The following is a 22,589-nucleotide window of genomic DNA, read 5'->3' as shown; positions in this document are numbered from 1 at the left end:
AGTTGATTGAGGTTCTATTAGGAAGGAAGAAGGCTGATATGGATGCTGGCTAGGCATCTGACAAAAATCTCCAGAAAAATAAATAAATTTCACTATTATTATTTTTATTATTACTGTTATTCTCATCACTTTCTTGTTTGGACTGCTTGCTCTCCCAGTCTCTTTCCTGTTCTGATAGTCTGTGACTCTGATCTTACTCAGCATTCTCAGTGTGGGCTGGGCTAATTTGGTCCCTGCATCTTCTGATGAGAGGGCAGCTGAAATGTACCATTTCTGCTTCCAACTTTCTTTTCCCTCTTACAAACACTTCAGGTGGAAGAGCCAAACATTCCCAGGTGTGCTGAGCTACTAAGAACCAGCCAAAGGAAATTAATTTCAAGATTCCAGCCTGTCACTCACAACAGTGAGTTGTGTAACTGAGCGGAGGAGACAGTTGATTATGTGCCAAAGCATCTGCCTTTTCAGTTGTACATATGGGAAGCCTTTCTCTATTCAAGATGGCAAGTCCATCTCAAATAGTGTTTTGCATTGCAGGGTGGTAGATCTGAACATTTCTAGTTCATTTGGCTAACTCCTCTGTGTTTTATGGTTACAGATTACATAGTTGATACATTTTTTTCAAAGAAGAACCAGTGTGGATAGATTGGTGAAAAACCACTCCCATTTTTGGAGAAACAACCTGTCTTAGTCTGTTTTGCACTGCTATAACAGAATATCACAGACTGGGTAATTTATAAAGAACAAAGATTTATTTTTTATGGTTTTGGAGGCTGGGAAGTCCAAGATCAAGGGGCCTGAATCTGGTGAGGCCCTCCTTGTTGTATTATCTCATGGTGGAAGTGGAAAGGGCAAGAGAACATACACAAGAGAGGGGAAGGGGGACAAACTCATCCAATTATCAGGAACCTGCTTCCATAATAACAAACCCACTTCCTGGATAATGGCATTAATCCTTGCATGAGGGCAGAGCCCACATGACCTAATCACCTCTTAAAAGTCCCACCTCTCAACACTGTTGCATGAGGAATTAAGTTTTCAAATTTCCAGCATATGAACTTTCAAGCCATAACACAACCCCAAACATAATAGCATGCCATTTAGGGATTGGGAAAATATTCCTCACTTACATGGGACAATCAATTATTTTTTGCATCCCAATCCTGAAGCATAGCTTAAGTCTACATCCATAATTGATTTGATTTTTTTCTTTTTAATTTATTTTTGGCTTTAGGCCATAACAAAGGCTGCTTGTGGAGACGATGCCACAGACCACTTCTCTCTGTCGCAAGTAGTCAGCTCATTCAACCACTGGCAACCCCTCATCCACTGGTCAATTGGCCTGGGTCAAGTAAAAGTGATGTGTTTGGTATTGAGGGTATATATGAGCCTATTGCCTCATAGTGTAGATAACAATTCCTTCCAACAGTCAGGTTAGACCCTGCTGTCTGATGTCATAAACTCCCAGGCAAGTGGCAGATATTCAGCACCATGGGAGTTCTCTCAAGAACCAGTCAGGAAGTCTCTGGAATCTGGCAAAGTGAATTATGGTTCATTGAGTAAGATGTTCATCACCCTCTTCTTAGAAATAAATTCCATTTGCATCATCAGGGAGTCATAGACTCTTAGAGCTTGAAGTAACTTTGGACATTATGTGTTTAAATATTTTTGCAGCCAAGTCCATGGGGAAGGCCTAATTTGTGTCCTGCTGCAGGGACTCTGACACAGAAATTCTGTTTATATGAAGTCCCTGTAGGCCTTCTAGGAGAACCAGTGGGGAACATGTTGGCACTGACTGTTGCTCTAGGCTAAATTTCTTCAACCAAAGTGGACAACAAGAGTTGCCCTTTAAGTCTTGTACTGAACTGACTCTAAGTTTGAGTCTAATTCTTGGATAGTCTGTTAGAGAAGGGGTAATTTTGGATTCAACACTTTCTGCATCTTGCCCTCTGTTTCAATCCCAAAGAAATCTCTCTGAAGTTCCTAGAAGAGGGAACATGGTAAAAAAATTACATGTGTGAGTCAAATAAAAGAATCATCGTGCCAGACTGCAAGACATTGAGAACACAGGGAAACTCTTCTTGGGAGTTTGAAAAGAGGTGGGTTTTTTGATTGTAGGAGTGGAGGCATGATAAAAACCAAGTTGGAAGGGGGAAAAAGAGAAGGAGCAAGGGCCACTTGTGAGATAGAGAGCTTGCTTGAGTGACAAGTTAAGACTTGCCTTAAGGGTAACAGTAAACATGGTGGCTTGGAAAGCCTAGAACCAGCAACTGGCACAAGAGAATGTCAGTGGCCAGTAAAGAGGTGGTCATGTGAACTGAGCTTATCCAGTCTGTCTCCCTCTCCTAGGACCTTGAATCTTGGGAAGATTGGTTGGCCTTCATTTATTCCAGCCATGGCGTCTTGATATTGTCAGTTTGGAGAGCTTCTCAGCATTCTCTCTCTCTCCCTCTCTCTCTCTTTGGTTAGAGTTGAGTTCTGTTGATTGCATTTAAATTGCCCTAACAGTTACAGGGTCCCTTTGCCAATTAACTAATTGCAAAATGAACAGACACCCAGGAGCAAGTTTGGCAATTTAGAGAGCTTGAGCCCTGAAGCCACGAGTTCATCCCTGTTCTGCAGCTTGGATATTACCAAGCACAGCTGTATGATCAGGCTATTGGGTGATGGAAACATGTCAATAGTGAATGCCTGACGCTTTGCTGCAGGTGGAAGACACAGATGGTTAGCTCTTATGACAGTTTTCCTTGTCAGAAATCATTGTTCTCTTTTTTGTCTCAATATGACCCGTGCCAGCAGAAGGAGGGCTCTGGGAGTCAGCACAGCTGGGAACCAGTACTATCTGATCGTGGGCAAGTTGCTCTACCTCTCTGCAGTCAGTTTCCTCACCTATAAACCAGTGAAACAATACATAACAACCCGACATATAAAGCTAAGAACAGCAGGATTGCACTGCTGCCAGAGGATGCTGGTGGGTGGAATCCTGTCTACTCAGGAAGGATTCCTGTACACTTTCCTGCTACCTCCTCTTTTGGTCCTTGAGGTTCTTCTGGGGAACCCTCAAGGTCTGAGGCACACCCTTTGATGACTACATGGCTAGATGATCTGTAAGGGACTTTCTAGCCTACGAGTCTATTAATTTATTTTACAAAACAGTCACATTTCCATAGTTCCTCCTCTTCATCCCCTCCCTACTGCATAAGCCTCAGCACTGCACACATACAAACTTTATGCACACAGGGAGGAAGAAAATGAGCAGTTTTTGTGTTCAGCGCTTGCAGATGGGACCTTCTGTGTTTCCAGAGATGGCTAGGATCATTGACAAGATGCTAAGGAGCCACAAATAGGTCCAGTGCAATGTCCTTCTGCAAAAGCGAAGCCTGAGCCCTTTTCGGGACACCCATGCCACTAGTCAGGCTTTCCAGGACTTCATGGCTCTGAATCAGAATTTCAGAGGTGCAAGAAGTTCTGAAAGCCTCCAGTCCCTACAGCCCATGCCCGGAAATCCTAGGATAGTATACTTCTCTGAGAGCGTCCTGACCTCTCAGATCTATTTATAATATTGGTATTTAAAGGTGTACAAGAGATGTCAGCATTTCTACTCTATTCACTCATACTCCTTCCCAAAGATTCTTCCCTCCTCTCTAAGACAGCCTTCGAATCCTTGCTAAAGAGATGCCTAATACAGCCACATTTTGTACCAGTAGATTCCTCCCCACTGCCTGACAGCCACTGCTGATAGGTCTAGGAGTGACCACTTGACCAATCAATTCCTCTCTATTGGGACACAGAGCCTCTGTCATTTAGATGCTGACAGACATGAAGCTGTGAGGGGGTATGTCTTTGGGACAGCTGCCATGTTGAGCCATGTGCAATAGAGAAAATTGGCATGCCAAGAAGAGAATGTAGTAGATACACAAAATGAAGGTAGATATAGAGAACATGGGAATGGGTAGGGGCAGAGGAGAAAAGGGCAGAGAGAGAGAGAGAGAGAGAGAGAGAGAGAGAGAGAGAGAGAGAGAACTTTCTGATATTGTTCTCATTCCACAAGACCCTGTAATCTTCTACATTTACCTGTCTTTAGAGTCACCTGAATCCCTCCATCATGCCAGAATTTTTTTTTTTTTTTTTTTTTTTTTTTGAGACGGAGTCTCGCTCTGTCGCCCAGGCCGGACTGCGGACTGCAGTGGCGCAATCTCGGCTCACTGCAAGCTCCGCTTCCTGGGTTCACGCCATTCTCCTGCCTCAGCCTCCCGAGTAGCTGGGACTACACAGAATTTTTATTAAAGTAGCCAGAATAGACTGTTCCTGGAAACCAGGCAATCTTTAATTAAGACCAAAGATTTAATGAAACAAGTCATGGCACCATCTACCCTGAAAGAGCTCATGTATCTCTTCATTCACTCAACTGATATTTACCTAACCTAGAAGTGGCAACACTGTGGGTACCAGCATGAAGGATACAGTGATGAACAAATATTTAGGGATTTGAAATAATTTCAAGTGTGGAATGGCCTGGCTGGGTAAGGAAATGGAAGACGACTTATTTGAAAGACAGTGATAAGGAGGAGGAATTAGACCTGCTGTGTTAGCCCCAGAGGGCATAGGAAAACTTGGATGGGTAGAAATAAAAAGGGGGCAGATTTGGCCTCAACATAGAAGAGAGCTTGCTAGCAGTTTGACACTGTCTGAAGATGGAACCACTTGACTTGAGAGTTGAGTTTCTCCTACCACGGGGCTGAATGACCAGTTTTCATGAGCTTTGTAGGGTAGATGCAAGCATTAGATGAAGGTTTAGATGGGATGACCTTTAAGATTCTGCCCCAAACCCTTGAATTCACATTTCATCTTGGGTCCACATGGTCTTTGTAATTTTAGGCCAGTTATTTAACTTCTATAGGCCTGTTTTATCACCTTTGAAAAGTGGGATGGGAAACTCTTGCACTGTTTTAAGGAATGAATTATGTGGCACTTAGTAAGTGCCTGGTGTGGGGAAGAAGAAATTCAGTAAATGAATGTTTCCTTTACTCTTCTCTGTTATAGGTGAGGGTTTTCTTTTTATGAAATGCTGCTCTCAACTGCTGCCACCGCTTCAGGGATTTTATTTGCTTTAAGCAATTGTAGTCTATGAAGATGATAGAGTTTGTGTCTTATTCACCTTACTTAGCATAGGGTAGTGCCCAAAAAGGGCCTTCATAAATGGAGATATGATTTACTATGGAGCCTTAGCTAACAATCGCCACACTGAAATATGTATGAGGAATGCATCTCTTCTCTACCCTTTACTTTTTAAAGTTTTTAATTTTAATTTTATTTATTTATTTTTGAGACAGGGTCTCGCTCTGTATCTCAAGCCGGAGTGCAGTGGTGCGATCTCAGTTCACTGCAACCTCCTCCTCCCAGGTTCATGCGATTCTTCTGCCTCAGCCTCATGAGTAGGTGGGATTACAGGCGCCCGCCACCACGCCCAGCTAATTTTTGTATTTTTAGTAGAGACAGGGTCTCACCATGTTGGCCAGGTTGGTCTTGACCTTCTGAGCTCAAGTGATCCGCCCGCCTCGGCCTCCCAAAGTGCTGGGATTATATGCGTGAGCCACTACACCCAGCCACTTGTCTACATTTTAAGCTTAAACACCGAGTCACAGGTAAACACACATGTACCCACACACACGCATGCATATGCGTGTGGACTGCAACTAAGACAATGCACACAGCATGCAGGTAGATATGCACAGACTTTCACTCCCCCCTCCCCATAATTAAGAAGATAGAAGAAGAATTGGCTTGTGGAATGAGTCACAGAGGCAGCCAGGATGAAGGGCAGGATTCAGCATCCCCAGGGAATCTTTATTTATAGTCCTGGCTGCTGGAGAGGGGGCTGGAATTATTCCTAAAGAGTTTCAGTGATGGAGTGATAACCAAAAGATGTCATTCCCACCGTCGTGCTTACAGGCAGGCGCCTGTTGCTGCTGGAGCCAGCAGAAGCGCTGTGTCACTCCAGAGCTGTGGTTCATGGGAGGAGCCAAGCTGACTGCATTCCAGCTGGTCCATCGTCAGTCACTGGGCCCCTTTCCCCGGTGAACAGACAATCTCTACGCTAATCCGAGCAAATCCTCCCAACCCCAAACAAACAGAAACCTCTGGGACAGCAGAGGCCACTGATTGCAGAGGATGCAGCTTAGATTCAAAATGATACAGTCTAATCCGTTGGTCCCACAGCTCTGCCTCTGTCAACAGTGTGGTTTCTGTAACAAGCAGAGAAAGTGGCATGAGGAATATGCAGTAGCAGACCCGACCTGCCTCACCCAGGGCCGGGGTGAGGATGTAAGGAGGCAGCTGGCTCTTTGCTGGGTTTTGAGCGACATCAGAAAAGTCTAGGGGGCATGAGCAGTAAGTTCCTTGGGTACAGGCTGTCTGTCTTATCCACTCTGGCACTCCTGGCACCAAGCACAGAGAAGATGTTAGTTGATAAATGGATACATGCATGATCTATTCAATATTGCAGTGTGTGAAGACCCCACAGTTCTGGTTCTTGAGTGTGATACATGATACATGATAGAAAAGAAAGAACATTTTTTAGGGAGCTAAGCAGACTAGGACTCCAATCCTGTCACTTCCTGTAGAAGACCTTGCACAGGTCACCTAATCTCTCCAAGCCTCAGTTTGCTTACTTGTAAAATGGAGACTCCCTAACACCTGCTATGTTTTGGGAATCATGGTAAGGATTAAAGATGGTGAAATAGGTTACTTCACCTTATTATATGTGCTACCTGGGGGAAATGAGGTATTGTTATCAGCCAATAACACATTAGCTGAATTAATCAGACAGATTGCACGCGGAAAACAGGGAATCCAGAACTGCCTGAGATGGTCTGGTTTATTGGCTCCTTATTTCCCAGCCTCCCTCCTTGGACTGGAGCCCTACTCTGAGTGGGAGTTCTCTTCTCAGTTGGCTCAAGTGTGTTCCTGGAGCTTTGTTCCCATCTGGGGCAGGAGGCCCCTTGAACTGGATCCCAGCTGCCCAGTGCAAACCCTGTGCTCAGCCCTCATGTGCTTTCCTGTTAGTCCTTGACCCTTACCTTGGCTCCTGGCCCTGACATAGCCTAGGTAACAGCTGCTGCTCATCTCTGGACCCGACTGATTCAAGAGGGCAACTGTAGGACTGCTGGGCCTGGCGTCCCGGACTGTCGGAGCTGCCTGAGACTGCCTCGGCATTTGGTCCTCTGATTCTTGGGCCTCGTTCAGCCCTGGAGTCCTGACAAGACCAAGCTGAAGAGACCTGAACCTGTTTTTCTAGGTTTCAGAGCACCTAATCTGGCACTTGAAACTCAGGTTGTTCCCAGAAGAGGTCAGAAAACAGGAAGTAAGGCTCGGGAGAGAAGGAAGAATCAGGAAGTGGATTTCAAGAGCATTCACTCCAGCTGCCATCAAAACATCACTTCCTAGACTGAGAGAATAAAGTAGTAGTTATTAAAAGCCCAGGCTTTTCAACTAAAGAGATCTGAGCTTAAAGCCTGCCTCTGTCGTTTGTGAACTGAGCAGCCCTGGGCACGCTGCACCTTCTTTCTGAGCTTTGGATTCCTTACTTATAAAGTGGGGTTAGGGACAGTACCTACCTTATGGGGCTGAGAGCATTGAGAGACATAATGGGTGCAAAGTGCTGAGCACAATGCCTGGTGCACAGTAGGGAGTCCATAAAATAGTGGCTATGATGACTGTGATTTAATGATTTTTGTGACCACTGCCCTAGTGGCTGCTCAGAGTCATCAGAAGGACCCAATGAGATATGAGATATGAAAGTGTTTAGAAGGAGGCTGGAGAGCATGACGCCAACATGGAGTACTGAAATTATTATTTTCTCGGTTTTTGACATTTGCCAACTGATGTGCTGTTGCACCCAAAGATTGGGTGCACGGCAACCAGAGGGCATGAAGGACTTCTCCAGAGCTGGCTCCCGGCATGACCTTCCCATCTGGTGCAGTGGGAGGGAAGAGGCTTGGACAGAGTTCTCCTATTGTCCCCGGGTCTTCTGAGGTCATCAGCTTTGCTCAGTTCTAGCTTAGCAGAGTGGTTTACAAAGGGTGGAGGGGAGACACAGGGGACCGGGAGCTGAAACTTTATTTGCTAAGTGTTTTTCAGAGCGCACGGCTCTGAGAAGGCGAAAAGGGGCAGGCAACAAGCCTTGATTTATGAACTGAGGCTCCCATTCCAGAAAACACATCATCAGTCCTTTTAGTAAAGAGCTTCAACCAGAGGGGCTGCCCTTCTGACTGCAGGCCTGAGTCCCACGACTGCTCTCAAAGGCAACTCCTTTTTGTGCACCCCTTAGGGGAAGAAAATCTGGAGAACAAATTCTGGGCCCTTGGTAGGGATGGGAACCTGCTCTCTGATGGCCAGGCAAGTACCTGAAACACAAGCGCCAGGCCCCTAACGGTGAAAGGGAGGAGTGGTAGAGTTCATAACAAAATGACTTTACTGTCAGCTGGTCATACATAGAGTCCAGAAGAAGGGACAAATCGTCCTTTACTTTTTACTTATAGCACCAACAGACCCCACAGAGGCGGATTCCACTCAGCCACATGTTCAGTTCTTCCCCAGCATTCCAACACAGAGCCACTCTAACAGAATCTCAGGATGCCACCTTTCACAAATGGTATGTGTCGCCCATACTTACCATTCTCCCCATCTTCTTTTTCACAGAACTGTATCTGCAGCAGTATGCTAAGATGGACCCCCCTCTGCTGAATCTAGGGAATGAGCCATGTTTGGTCTGGCTCAGAAATGACAATTTCATTCCCATTCACCAGTGATTGGGTTAGGGATGGTCATGTGGTTTAGTTCTGGCAAATGGGATCTGAGTCAAAGTCTTCTGGAATCTTCTGAAAATATTTTGCTCCTGGATAAGAAAGAGACATAGGAGGAGAAATCCCATTCTCTCTCTTTCTTCTTTTGCATGTCATGAGGATGTGGTGCTTGGCAGCCATCCTGCCACTGTGAGGAGAAAGCCAAAAACATGGCACAGAAGCCGATGCAGAGCCTTGACATTGTTGAGCCACAATCTAACCATGCCAACTTGTAGACTTTTTTAAAATGAAGTAATAAAAGTCCTTATTGTTTTGTTTTGTTTTGTTTTTGAGACAGAGTCTTGCTCTGTCCCCCAGCTGGGGTGCAGTGGCGTGATCTCAGTTCACTGTAACCTCTGTCTCCTGAGTTCAAGCGATTCTCCTGCCTCAGCCTCGTGAGTAGCTGGGATTACAGGTATGCACCACCATTTCTGCTTAATTTTTGTATTTTTAGTAGAGATGGGGTTTTACCATGTTGGCCAGGCTGGTCACGAACTCCTGACCTCAAGTGATCCGCCCACCTCAGCCTCCCAAAGTGTTGGGATTACGGGCGTGAGCCACCATGCCCGGCCCTTGTTGTTTAAGCAACTTTTAGTCACGTATGCTGTTCCATCTATACCAAAGCATCTGAACAAATATATCAGGGAAACCTCTTCTCAGTTGACCCTCCCTTTTTCTTCTCCTTTCCCTGCTTTAATTCAGGGGACTCAAACCTGGATGCCTGCAGGGACCAGAGCAGAACTATGCAAAACTGGAACTTGTGTGGCACAAGGAAGGCGAATTAGAGAGGGTGTGCCCCTTGTGAAGGGGCTGATGCTGGTTATTGAGCTCCAGCTGGTTCTGGCTGTGCAGGAATCCTATCCAGCTGTGGCTGGATATTTTTATTTTTCAGGAGAAACTGGAAAACTGGAGTTTTAGTGGACTCTCTCAATTTAGAAATGCATGTTGAAATTTTAAAGTAAGATACTGTATATGAACCAAACTGATGTATCCATGCACTAGGTATGGTCTCAGGGTCATATATTTGTGACTTGGGTTTAACTCCAGAGTTTCATTTTTCCTTGAGCTTGGTCCTTAAGGCTGTCGGTGACTTATTTCAGATTTTGCTCTTGGGTAGGAGCTGCGGTTGTGGGCTTGAGTTTTGTGGGAGTGGGGAATAGAGGAGGGGAGAAAAGAGAATAAAAGGATATAACTGTGTCCTGACATTAAGGTAGGACATCTGCAAGCCAACAAGCTTTTATCCTGCAGGATAAACCTTCTCTTAGTATAAGTCCTGTGCATGATTTTACTGAAAAGGCCACTGTTGTTTTCTCCACCATGAATTATGTTACCAAAGCCCCCTTCTCTTATCTAAATGCCAGTGTGGCTCAGGCTCTAAGAATCGGGGTGGAGGGGACCTATACCACCAAACGACCATGAAGCTAGGAGTTTTGATGCAATTTCCCAGGAAATTGCCATCCTGTTTGACTTAATTAGTGCTGTGAAGACACCAGTTTTGTCTAGGAGCACGAATTCTCAGTTCTCATTTAGCCCAATAAATGTTCAGTTCTTTTCAGCTAAAGAAAATATCCCATGGAAAATACAAGGACATACCCTTTTCGTGCAAACTGCATTTGGGTACATGAATAAATTCAAACGGGGCCCTCTAGGGAAGGCCTGGACTGCTGTGGACATTTTAGACCTTTGTTAGACCAACTTTCCATGGACCTGAGGACTCTGACCCCCAAGGGGGCAAGTCCAGGCTCCTTGTCCCTGCATGACCCACACAGGTTGTTTAATTTAATTCTTCAGGCTGTTAAATTGGAAATCTTCATGTTTGCCTCCAGGTCATCAAATTAAAAATTTTCAGAGCTCCTTTGTTGCAAGACTTCAGAGAACAGCTAAAATGAACTTCATGCCATGTACTGTATACAGCCCAATGATGCCCCTTGATGACAAGAGGGAATGAGTCACCACCAGCTTCAGGGATTTGGAAGAAATGTCAATGAAGTCATGAATAATAGGTGCTGCACTGACACCTAAGAAGGTTAAGGTCAGGAATTAGTTGGCAGGGAAGAAAATTGTGAAGGAGGCCACCCACAGCTCTACAGAGCTTCAGTAGCTTGTGTCATCTGATTGGATAGTGGTGAGCTGGGATAGCCAAGAAAATAAGGAATTTATTTCATTTTGAAGAAAGAAAATATGTGTATGTTGGTGGTGGTGGGAGGTTCTTCCCAAGGGCAGAGAGGTGGACTTGATGGCTTTTGGAAGCCCCACCAAGCTTCAGGCCTTTATTGTGGCTCTAGGGGCTGGTATTAGAAATCAGTGGGTCTGAGCACTTCTCCAAGCATCCTGGGAATCTTCAGAGGGAATATTTTACAGAAAGGCAGAAACCAGTCTAGTTACCTCTAGAGAGAAGACCCCAATAGCCCAGAAGGGCTACAGAATGTTAGGTTGTGTTTCTGTTCCAGTATGAAGACACTATCAAGACAGTAAGTCGTCCAGAAGACATTTTCTGCCCTCTGCATAAAAAAACAAAGAGGTGGGGTTAAAAAGCTGATGGTTGTACTTCCACTGACCTTCCAATCAAATACTATTTTGGTGATTCATTCTGGGGGAATGAAGCAATGGATCATCATCAAAAAAAATGATGGAGTGCCTCATCATTTCATGGTATCTCCATTTGTTTTTCTGTCTAAATTAACCAGAAAAATTCCACTGGGGACAGGCCTGCACACTGTCTAGAGATGGAAGGAGGTGAAACCACCTCCACGATGGTCATTGCCATGGCTTTCACTCCTGTTGCCACCATCATCCAGTATATGTGTAGACTGAGGGGGCTCTGAGATGAGCACAATAACAACGAAAAGTCCTGTCATAGGCTGTCATAGTCAGGGTTTGTTGTTAGGGATCGGCACTTGGGGAAGGGAGAGGAAACAGGATTGAACAGAGGCAGAAGTTGAACTGTGATGTTTATTAGAGTTGTCCTCAGTGAGCTGAAAAGACTGAGCCTTTATCAGTGATTGGGTATGTGCTGTCAGGGAAGGGTACTCTCCTGGGCAAGGTGGCTCTCTGCAGCTGAGGCTGCCAAGCTCATGCTGACAGCTGGAGTGTCTGCTGATGGCACTTGCAGCAGCGGACTCAGTGGGTTCTTTCCTGAAGGAGGCTGGAGCCCTGCAACTCTGTGCCCTTCAAAAAGCCCAGATCTTGGGTATAAACCCAAAGGATTATAAATCATTCTGCTGTAAAGACACATGCATACTTATGTTTATTGCAGCACTATTTACAATACCAAGGACTTGGAACAAACCTAAATGCCTATCAATGATAGACTGGATAAAGAAAATGTGGCACATATACACTATGGAATACTATGCAGCCATAAAAAAGAATGAATTCATGTCCTTTGCAGGGACATGGATGAAGCTAGAAACCATCATTCTCCACAAACTAACACAGGAACAGAAAACCAAACACCGCATATTCTCACTCATAGGTGGGAGTTGAACAATGAGAACACATGGACATAGGGAGGGGAACATCACACACTGGGGCCTGTTTGGGGGTGGGGGGCAAGGGGAGGGAGAGCATTAGGACAAATATCTAATGCATGTGGGGCTTAAAACCTAGATGATGGGTTGATAGGTGCAGCAAACCACCACGGCACATGTATACCTATGTAACAAACCTGAACGTTTTGCACATGTATCCCAGAATTTTTTTTATAAAAGCCCAGATCTTGAATCCAAGGAAGGTTTTATTGCAGATTTCAGAGCCATGAAACTGCCTCTCAGGACCTTGGTCTATCTCTTGACCAAGCAGTCAGACAAAGCAAGTGAAATTTCTATGATGGTAGTGAGAGCCAGGCAAGACTGGCAAGACCTCAGGCTTATGATTCAGACAGACCTGGATTCAAAGTCCACACTCATACTCACCAGTTGCATGACTCTAGGCAATCACATCACCTTCTCTGAGCTCCATGTCCCTTTCTGTAAAATGGGGATAATAATAGTTTGCTGGTCCAGGGCCCACTTGTCTTCCCATAGTGTCTTTCCCTTCCCACCTCTGTTCTGTATCACAGGGATCTTATCTCTGCAAGCTGTAGCTCCCAGGCTCCTGCATCAGCTGGCTTCTAGCTGAGTTTGGCCAATGATATTTTGGGGACAAGAAGAAGCAGCTAGTTAGGGCATTTCTCCCTCCCTGCTTCAGGTGGTGTCCCCAGCAGCAGCTGCATCTCTGCAAGCAAGAGCACTCATTAACATAGACACACTCAAAAGGCCACATGTGCAATTTCTAACAATGTTGACGAGCCAGTGCCTTAATTATTTTATTATTTTAAAATAAGGTTATTTTATTTGATTAATCATGAGAGTATTTTAATCTTATAAGATTATTTTAGTTGATTAATCGTCACTCATGTAGAGGATATGATACAAGTTGGGCATTTTGATTAGGACATGAAAAAGCAATGTTGGAGTTTATCAAGTTTATCAAAGCTTATTGTCCTGCAGGATCCCTCATGAGTACATAAAGTAGTAGGGAAGGGCTCCAGGGTGTCAGAGAGGAACAGTAAGGCAGAGGAGGAGACCCTGCAGAGAGATGTTTAAATAGCATGTAAGTAAAAGTTGCCACCATCACAACTCTAAAGAGAACTATAACCTCAAAGTCATTCAAAATTGGCATTCAAAGACTGTCAAAACAGGGCTTCAATCTACTTTTAAAATTCTCTTTCTTAGACTTTGTATTGGGTTGAATAGCAGATCTCCAAAAGATACGTCTAAGTCCTAACCCCACCCCACCACCCCAGTACCTGTGAATGTGACTTTAATGGAAATGGGGCTTTTGAAGATGTTAAGAATCTTGAGATGAGATGATTCTAGATTTAGGGTGGGCCCTAAGCTCAAGGAGTGTTGTCCTTATAAAATAAAAGAGAGGGAGAGTTGAGACATAAGGACACAGGGGAGGAGCTGCAAGCCAAGGAATTAGAATCACTAGAAGCTGGAAGAGGCAAAGGATGGAATCTCTTGTAGAGCCTCCACAGGAAGTGTGGCCCTGCTGACCCCTTGATTTTTAGACTTCTGCTCTCCAAAAGGAACCATGAGAGAATAAACTTCTGTTGCATTAAGTCATCGAGTTTGTGGTGCTTTGTTATGGGAGCCTTAGAGACCAATATAGACCCCAACTTCCAGTTATAATGGGCCACTGAGCTGTTTCCTGAATAGCCCAGCTGTTTGCTGACCTCGGGTTTTTAACCATGTTGCATTGGACACATTATTATATTTATATTTAATGCAAGCACAGTTAACTATTTAGTTGGCAAAAAATAACATGAATAGACTGAGGGAGGCTGAGAGCAGAGCAAATTGATGGCTAAGCTGCTAGGGACAGCTCTGTCTGCTTTTCCATGCTGAATGGTGAGTGCTGCCCTGCAGGTTGCAGGAAACATGGCCACAACTACTCCTCCTCACCTCTTCTATGGTCTTCCCACAGGATGAGCATCTCATCACAACATGTGTGAGTCCAATGTGGAAGATTTCATGGTTTTCATACAACTTGGCCCCTTAAAGCAAGCTCACGAATTCAGCTGAAGCAACAACAATTGATTTTGGGACTACAGGACACAGTGACTGTATTGGATTTCTTGAGAGACAGTGTCATTTTCCAACACAGTCTCTCATAAGGGATTTTCAAGGGAACTTTTGACTATCCTCTATTTATGACTTTTTTTGGCTTTATGCATTGATTTTAGAACACAAATGCTGAATAAGATTTGATTCCTTTGCGTTCACTTTGCTTAGAATCCCCCAGCATACTTTAACATGCCACTTTTTCCAACAACTTCTCCCTTCACACCCGGATTGGTGCTGAATTTCTAACTTCTTCAAAATTCCATAGCATTTCCCTCCATCACTCCCATGTATCTTCACTTACAGGAGTTTATACACACATCAGCTTCCCTTGCAGAATTTTTTGACATTGGGGGCTACATATCTTTGAATCTCCCATAGGCCAGTGGATCATTGAATGAATGGTTGGATGGATGGATGGATTTATTGATGTTTATAGATTTCAGAGAAAAATTAAATGGAATCTAATAGCTAAAGCAAAGAGAGCTTGTCTACATTTACACTGCCAGTGTGAGTCTTGATGCACAAACTGGGAATCAGATTGCCAGGTGATGCCACACTCTTGCAGATAGATGGCTTGCTTTCTCTGTGGACTTAAAATAAGTCAAGCGTGAGGCCACTCCTCTAAATCACTGGTACAGGGATGCGTCTATACTGCAACTCAGCCTAAGTGTCAGTTCCTCAGAGAACCCTTCCCTGTACCTCCGAGTCTAGATGAGTCTCCTTCCTCTCTGTTATATGCTATCATGGAATTCTCTTTTTTCCCTTCATAGCATTGTCACATTTTGAAACTATTTGTTTCTGTGACTTTTTGTTTACTGTCTTTTACACCCTCCAACCTCTTGGCTGACTTTAAACTCAAGAAACGTAGGATTGATGTCTGTTTTCTTAACCATGGTAATCCAGTGTCTAGCCCAGTGCCTGCCATTGGCTGCAATATATTACAGCAGTAACATATCACATATTACTGCTACTAATGTCTAATATTAATTGACTATGTATTATGTGCCAGACACTGTTCAAAACTGCTTTACATAAATCATCTCCTTTTATCTTCACAATAACTCTCTGAAGCAGGAGCGATTATTATTCCCATTTTGTAGATGAGGAGACTGAGATACAGGGACACTAACTGGTTCAAGGTATCACAGCTAGGAAGTAGCACAGTGGAGACTTAAACCCAGGGATGCCAGCCCCAAAGTCAGGAAGTGTTCACTAATGTATGTTGAATAAATGAATGAATCATGATCAATATTACTGTGTATCTTCTGGACTAATTGCCTAGCCAGTGCAAACATGTCTTCTACAACTATTCTAAGAGTTAGTTCTCCAGATCGTTCTGAAATACTTCTTGCAATGGGATTCATTAGCTTTTCCAGTGAGCAACTCTAATAACTAGGATGATCTTCATTACATAAAACTGAAATCCACTTCTGTGGTAATTTTACCTGTGGACACCTGTTCTGCTCTCAGTAGTTTAAAAGAACTTTAGTTCCTCTCATATAGCTCTGATAAGAGTTTTCACTTAGATGACAGCCTATGTTCCAGCTATATCTCCAGATTCTGGCCAAACCATAGTGTACTGCTATACCTGTTAAACTGAGGCATCCACACCTGGATAGAAGGCTTTCCAGGAATGGTTTGTCCAGGGTGGAATAGAGTAGGAGTATTCAGCTCTGTAACCCTGGGGACTGACATGATGCTTGTTGAATTGAAATGAAATGCTTTCATAGTGGTAATAATAATCTCTTTACTTTGTAGTTGAAAATTACAAAATATGTATGTGTGCCCGATTTCAGTTGGTTTTTCTCTACAATATGTTGTTTAATCTCTGCTGCCTTTTTGATTTGAGGCTTCAGGATATTAGAGCTATAAGCAACATGAGAGATGCTCTGAGGTCCAGAGAGGTTGAATGGTTTGCTTAGAGTCAAGTTAAGTTTCCTTTTAAAACTGATAATTTCTGGAAACTATGTCCTTCTTCCTATGATCTCCCATGAACCTGATGGGTTTCCTGCCCTCTGGTCCTTTTCAGTATATTGACTGTGGTCAAAATAGTGTTGGCAATGAACTTTCTATCATTGGAGGTGTATGAACTGATAATGAGTTGGCTTTTGAGTAAGGATGTTGTACCTACAACAACAGCTGAGACATCTAATGAGTATTGGTCTAAATGATCTTTCAGGTAATGTAACCTCTGGCCTTACAAAAACTATGCCACCCATAGACTGCATAGGGATCAGGTAGAGTTTTAGCCACAAAGCTTTCAAGACTTCTATCCACCAAATCGTTTCTGAATATAGCAACCTAGTTTCTCACCATAACTGGTAGGAGCCAAGATCATCATCCTTCAATACTGAAACACTACCAAAAATATACAAGTTTTCAACACTGATTCTCAATACCTTGTGGAAACTTCCCAAGACCTTTTGTCCCAATCCTATTTATTCTTCACACCTAGCTCAACTCTTGTTTACTCTGAGTATCCTTTCTCAATCCTCTCAATTAGAATGAATCCTTCCCTCCCATATTTCCCCATAGGAAATTGTAACTCTCCTATAAAACTTATCAAAGTCTGCCTTATATTATGCATCTTTTCCCATTTCATTGAGCAATCAGCACTGATTTATTTGTACATAATTTATTATCATTATTAACCATGTACCAAGCCAAGTACTTTACTTGTTTTGCCTTTTTGTTTTGTCTTTACCTTATTTATTCTTTGCAATGACCCTATGTGGTAGGTGTTTACAATATCACCATTTTACATATGAGGAAACTGAGGCTGGGAAGTTAGTCATCTTCCTAAAATTACATGGTAAGTTGGTGCCAGAGCTGGGCTCACAAATTCTTATAGAACAGAGGCCATGATTCTTCTCTCTCAGTCCCTAGAATTTTACTTTGTTTGCAATGGGTGTTTAATAGTTTTTTTTTCTGTTGCTTATAGACACAGATCCAGAACACGTGAGACCACACTTGTGGTGAAGAAAGCCTGCGGTTCCAGAGAATCAAAGCCAGGTAGATAAGCTGGCAATTGGATCAAGGTGAAAGCAGTTCTTCCATTGAGTTAGGCGAGCACTCAGGAGCTCTATTATGACAGGGACTCTCTGACATCTGTCATCATGTGGTCAAAGGAAATAATGGAAAGTAAAGAACAGTGGTCTCCATCTTTGATTTCAGTCTTGGGTGGAATAAGAGATGGAAAACTTTTATTGTCTTAGCAGTTGGTTTGAGAATTCTTTCTGAGGAGACATCCACCCTGATGTGGAAAAACCCCTTGACAAGCCCACTTGCTGTAAAATACTTACAGCAAGTATAGCTGTAAAATACTAACAGCAAGTATAGCTGTACCTGAGTGAAGAGGAAGAAAGGGAGAGGAAAATATGAGAGAGGGCGAGGGAGAGGGTGGTAGAACCAGCAAGATGGTGAATCAGTTGTACTGCATTGTACATGATATAATCACTCCCCAGAACTGCATGATCTTCAGTGAATTCTTGAAAGCTTAGCAAAGGGCAGACACAAATAGATTTCTCATGGAAGATAGAGAAAGCACTATGCCTTGGGACACGGGGTAGAATGGAATTAGTGAGCCAACAAAAAGATTCTCAACACCAGAAAAATGCAAATGTCTTGAGGATGGCTTAAGGCTTTCCCATGCTGTAGAATTCAGGGTTCAAGGCAACATCATTGAGATTTCAAGGATTTTGAGGGGACCAGTGGGCAACTGTTTGACATTTGGTAACGTACCCAAAAGAGGTCATATAACTAATTTAAATTCAGTTGAACAGAGAGTAAGTAGATGTTTCTTGAGCACCAATCTAATGCCAGACTCTGTGCCAGGTTGGACATCGCTTCAAGGCTGCTGGGGAGAAATTATGAAGTAGATCTATGGGAATACTTCCCTGTTTTGTTCTGCTGAGAAATCTCTCTCAGTTCTGCTGGCTGCTCACTGGTTCCTGAGATAACTAACCCGGCTTATCCCTCCAATATCAGAACCGCAGTTTGTGAGCTTTCTTTTCCTCATTTTTTTCATCAAAATTTGTTCATTTATAAAATGCTGTAGAGTGCTGTTAAGAGTGTTCTGAACTTAGACTTTGGAGACCTTAGACTTTGCAGAAAATTCTTGCCCCAGAAGTTTCTAGCTGTTTGACGTGGGAAAAAACACTTAACTTTTGGGAGACATTCTCCCATAAAAGCACATAATGGTTTTTATGTGTTTGTCCCCCACTACACTGTGAGTGGCACAAGGGCAAGTACCATTACTATCTTTTTTTTTTTTTTCCTTTTTTGAGATGGAGTCTCACTCTGTTGCCCAGGCTGTAATGCAGTGGCGCGATCTCAGCTCACCCCAACCTCCGCCTCCCGGGTTCCAGTGATTCTCCTGCCTCAGCCTCCAGAGTAGCTAGGATTACAGGCATGTGCTATCATGCCTGGCTAATTTTTGTATTTTTAGTGGAGACGGGGTTTCACTATTTTGGCCAGGCTCGTCTCAAACTCCTGACATCAGGTGATCCACTAGCCTTGGCCTCATTACAGGTGTGAGCCACTGTGCCCGGTGCATCTTTTTTTTTTTTTTTTTTCTCACTATGTTGCCCAGGCTGAAGTGCAGTGGCATGATCATTGCTCACTGCAGCGTTGACCTCCCGGGCTAAAGTGATTCTCTTGCCACAGCCTCCTGATTAGCTGGGACTACAGGCATAAACCACCATGGGTGGCTAATGAAAAATATATATATTTGTAGATATGAGGTTTCACTATGCTGCCCAGGCTGGGCATCATTATCTTGTCCGTATCTTTAGAACTCTTACATAGTGCTTGGCAGTCAATAAAGTTTGTTTTAGGAATGAATTAAGGAATGAACACCCAACTCTCCTTGCTACTTATGTAAAGCTGAAATGAGTTAATGAATATGAAAGAGTATTTAAAAAACATAATTTATCTGTTTATTAGAAACCTCATTGTAGCTAGCTGCCACATCAGAAATAATTCAGCTAAACCACTTTTATTAAGGTGTTGATGTTTTAGAGTTAGCTTTATGGGTTACGTCTGCCAGGGGCTACTTGTGTTTTTGTATGTAGGTTTTGAGGAAGCATATATTTTACAAAGAGAGTTTAATTGATCCATAGGTATTATGAACAGCAGTGACAAGCATGTCGTAAAAGGGATTTTTTGAACAAAATGGGGCTTTCTGGATTTCTTCAAGCAGGAAATAAAAATCTGCCAGTTTGAATCATTTCCAAAAATGCCGCTACTACAGCATCTTTTCTAAGACTGTTGGAAAAATGCAATGCAGTTGTGATAGGCTATATCTTTCACTCACTCTCCATTTACAGTGAAGCACAAGAAACTGGAAACAAATGACCAAGCCATATAGAGATTGCGAGAATTAGTGATCAGCGTTGGCTACAAACCATGCGAGTTACGCTTTTCTTTTCGGTTTCACCCAAAAACTTCTCTCATTTCATTTTAAGTTGCATCTGCTTTGCACAGTGTTGTTTTTTTTTTCCCCAAAGCACCATGAATGATTTATGACTTTCTGACGCCACATCCCACAAGATTACATAAGGAACAGTGAAAAACAAGTGATTGAGCCAAACTTAAAAAAACACCCAAACATTTCCAAAGTGGATTTCATCTTGACTGCAGTCAGCTAATAGTTTTCGACTCACCAAAAGTGCTCCTTCATTCCAAAGTGCGCCCCGTTTCTGTGAGGATCCCTCAGATTTTCTTTCACTGTTGACAGCACACTATGATCAACTCAGTGTCTGGCTCCCAGCAATGTCCAGGAATGTCCAGTTTTCCCGAATCCTCCCCTTTTCTCTGAAAGTGAACGTTGCAGTTGGATTACAGAAACAACCTCATTAGTTTGGTTAATGATTGGACAAAAACATTGATAGGAGTAATAGCTACCAGGCTTGTCATTTCTTTTAATCATAGAATAATAGGATTTCAGAGTTTGCAGGGGCCTGGGATTCCCTAGTTCTACCCGTTATTTGACAGATAAAGAAGCTGATAACCAGAGAGGTGAGGTAACTTGCCCAAAGTCACGCAGCTAGATTAAGCAGAGTAATGGACATAATTCAACCTCAGAGTGGTGTCATCTGTGCATATTTATTAATAAACTTTCATCTCCTTACTTAAGTGAAGTGACAGCATTAGATATTATTTTTTAACTATAGGAATTTTAGAGCTTATCTGATGGACTTTCTGTCATTGACTTGTTTATGAAGTCAGAGCAAATCCATGTAGGGGAGGAGGACAATTGCTTGCGAGGCAAGGGCTGTGTTGAGGGCTAGAGTACTGGGTTGCTGGCTGCAAGGGTTGATGTGTCTTTCCAGAGTCTTGGTCAGAAGTGGCCAAATCAGGGTAATGAGGGTTCGTCTGAAACCCGAGGTCTGGGTCAGTGGCCTGTATGAAGTTCCAGGTTTGAGGGGTTGGTGTGAGACGGCAAACTGAAGGTGAGTGAAAAGTAAGGAGTCAAGGAGTCACAGAGGGCAAGATGGCTGACATCAGTGGCCAGGGTGTGGGGCTGTGATCAGATAGAGGGACCTCCAGATAGAGGAAGCACCAATTGTTGGTTTAAGGGAGCAGGATTGGGTCACATTATTTCAAGTTTACAGATAAGAATGGAAAACCCACCAGGCCAGGTGCGGTGGCTCATGCCTGTAATCCCAGCTACTTAGAAGGCCAAGGAGGGTGGATCACTTGAAGTTAGGAGTTCAAGACCAGCCTGGCCAACATGGTGAAACTTTGTCTCTACTAAAAATACAAAAAAATAGCCAGGTGTGGTGGCATGTGCCTGTAATCCCAGCTACTCGGGAGGCTGAGGCAGGAGAATCGGGGAGACTGCAGTGAGCCGAGATCTGGGCAAAAGAGTGAGAGCCCCGTCTGGGCAACAGAGTGAGACTCTGTCAAAAAAAAAAAAAAAAAAAAGAAAAAAAGAAAACTCGCCACCTTTACTGACGAGAAAAATAAACAAATTACAGAATAGAGTATAGAATATGACTCCATTTATGCATAAATCTGTCTCAGCCTACAGAGTGGAGGGAATCACATAGTTTCCAGGTTAAAAGCACAGACTTAGGAGTTAGAAATTCTGAATTTGCTTCTTGGCTGCATTTTTCTAGCTGTATAATGCTGGGCAAGTCACTTAACCCTTCTTTGCCTTCGGTTTCTCAATTGTAGAATAAAGCCCACTTTATTGATTTGCTGTAAATATTTGAGATAATGTACATAAGGCACTTAGCATAGTGCCTGGCACATAGTAAAGGTATAAAAACTTAGTAGCTATTTTTATTTTTAGACTTGACCTTTGGAAATGAAAACTGGATTTGAAACCCATTTCTGTCACTTTACTGGCTGTGTGCTTTTGGGCAGGTTGCAACCTCTCTGAGACTCAGTTTCCAATCTGTAAAATGGAACCAGTAATCACCACATTGTGGGATGTTGTGAGAATGAAAGGAGGCAGTGTAAAGGGCTTCACCCAGTGTACTTAAAGAAAGGTGGTGCAGCTGGGCGTGGTGGCTAACGCCTGTAATCCTAGCATTTTGGGAGGCCGAGGCAGGTGGATCACCTAAGGTCAGGAGTTCGAGACCAGTCTGGCCAACACGGTGAAACCCCATCTCCACTAAATATACAAAAATTAGCCAGGTGGTGGGCGCTTATAATTCCAGCTACTGTGGAGGCCGAGGCAGGAGAATCGCTTGAACCCAGGAGGCGGAGGTTGCAGTGAGCTGAGATTGCGCCACTGCACTCCAGCCTGAATGACAGAGCGAGACTCCATCTCAAAAAAAAAAAAAAAGAGAAAGGTGGTGCTCAGCGCTGAGAGCACCAGGATGAGGTTCAAACGTTGGGTGATGGAGTCAGGGAAGTGAAAGGAAGGGTGCTCATAAAAAAGCTAAAAGCTATTTTAATTTTCTTCATTGTTAGTGTCTGTGCTGTTTGAAAAAAAATTGTGTTTGCAGTCAGCATGTTTTATTGGGGGAAAAAGGAGTGGTTAGTAAATAGCAAAATCCAAACAAACAAAGATGAAACCTATTGCTGGGTTTGCAATGTTTAAGTGCTAAGGATAAGTAGATAAAGCCGAGAGAGACAAGCTCAGGCTGCGCCAGAGACATTCTAATGTCCAGAGGCTTCTCTCTTAGGT

General features: G+C 43.4%; 1 protein-coding gene and 1 long non-coding RNA gene across 3 annotated transcripts in view, besides 1 other annotated feature; one reads left to right on the top strand and one right to left on the bottom strand.

Moving 5' to 3' along the window:
* The window catches only part of ADRA1B (adrenoceptor alpha 1B), a 124,120-nt gene extending 103,887 nt beyond the window's left edge, over positions 1-20,233 (bottom strand). For both annotated transcript variants that reach the window (XM_047416776.1, XM_011534435.2), the window contains exon 1: positions 20,113-20,233. The gene's annotated coding sequence lies outside the window, so the exon portion shown is untranslated. The remainder of the gene's footprint in view (positions 1-20,112) is intronic.
* Positions 10,338-11,537: an enhancer, noted in NCBI's record as "BRD4-independent group 4 enhancer chr5:159300789-159301988 (GRCh37/hg19 assembly coordinates)". NCBI's record gives its function as "activates an origin of replication core promoter dependent on BRD2, P300/CBP, MED14 and CDK7 cofactors, and independent of BRD4, by STARR-seq in HCT116 cells {active_cell/tissue: HCT116}" and the evidence as "EXISTENCE:reporter gene assay evidence [ECO:0000049][PMID:35650434]".
* Positions 13,935-22,589, top strand: part of LINC01847 (long intergenic non-protein coding RNA 1847) — a 94,613-nt gene continuing 85,958 nt past the window's right edge. Inside the window, exons 1-2 of the long non-coding RNA NR_109891.1 lie at positions 13,935-17,461; positions 18,284-18,447. This is a non-coding gene — a long non-coding RNA (long intergenic non-protein coding RNA 1847). The remainder of the gene's footprint in view (positions 17,462-18,283; positions 18,448-22,589) is intronic.

This window comes from Homo sapiens, chromosome 5 (genome assembly GCF_000001405.40).
Source record: "Homo sapiens chromosome 5, GRCh38.p14 Primary Assembly".
In the NCBI taxonomy this organism is placed as follows: Eukaryota; Metazoa; Chordata; class Mammalia; order Primates; family Hominidae; genus Homo; species Homo sapiens.
The sequence above is the reverse complement of the archived record's forward strand: the minus strand, read 5'-3'. Positions and strand labels throughout refer to the sequence as shown.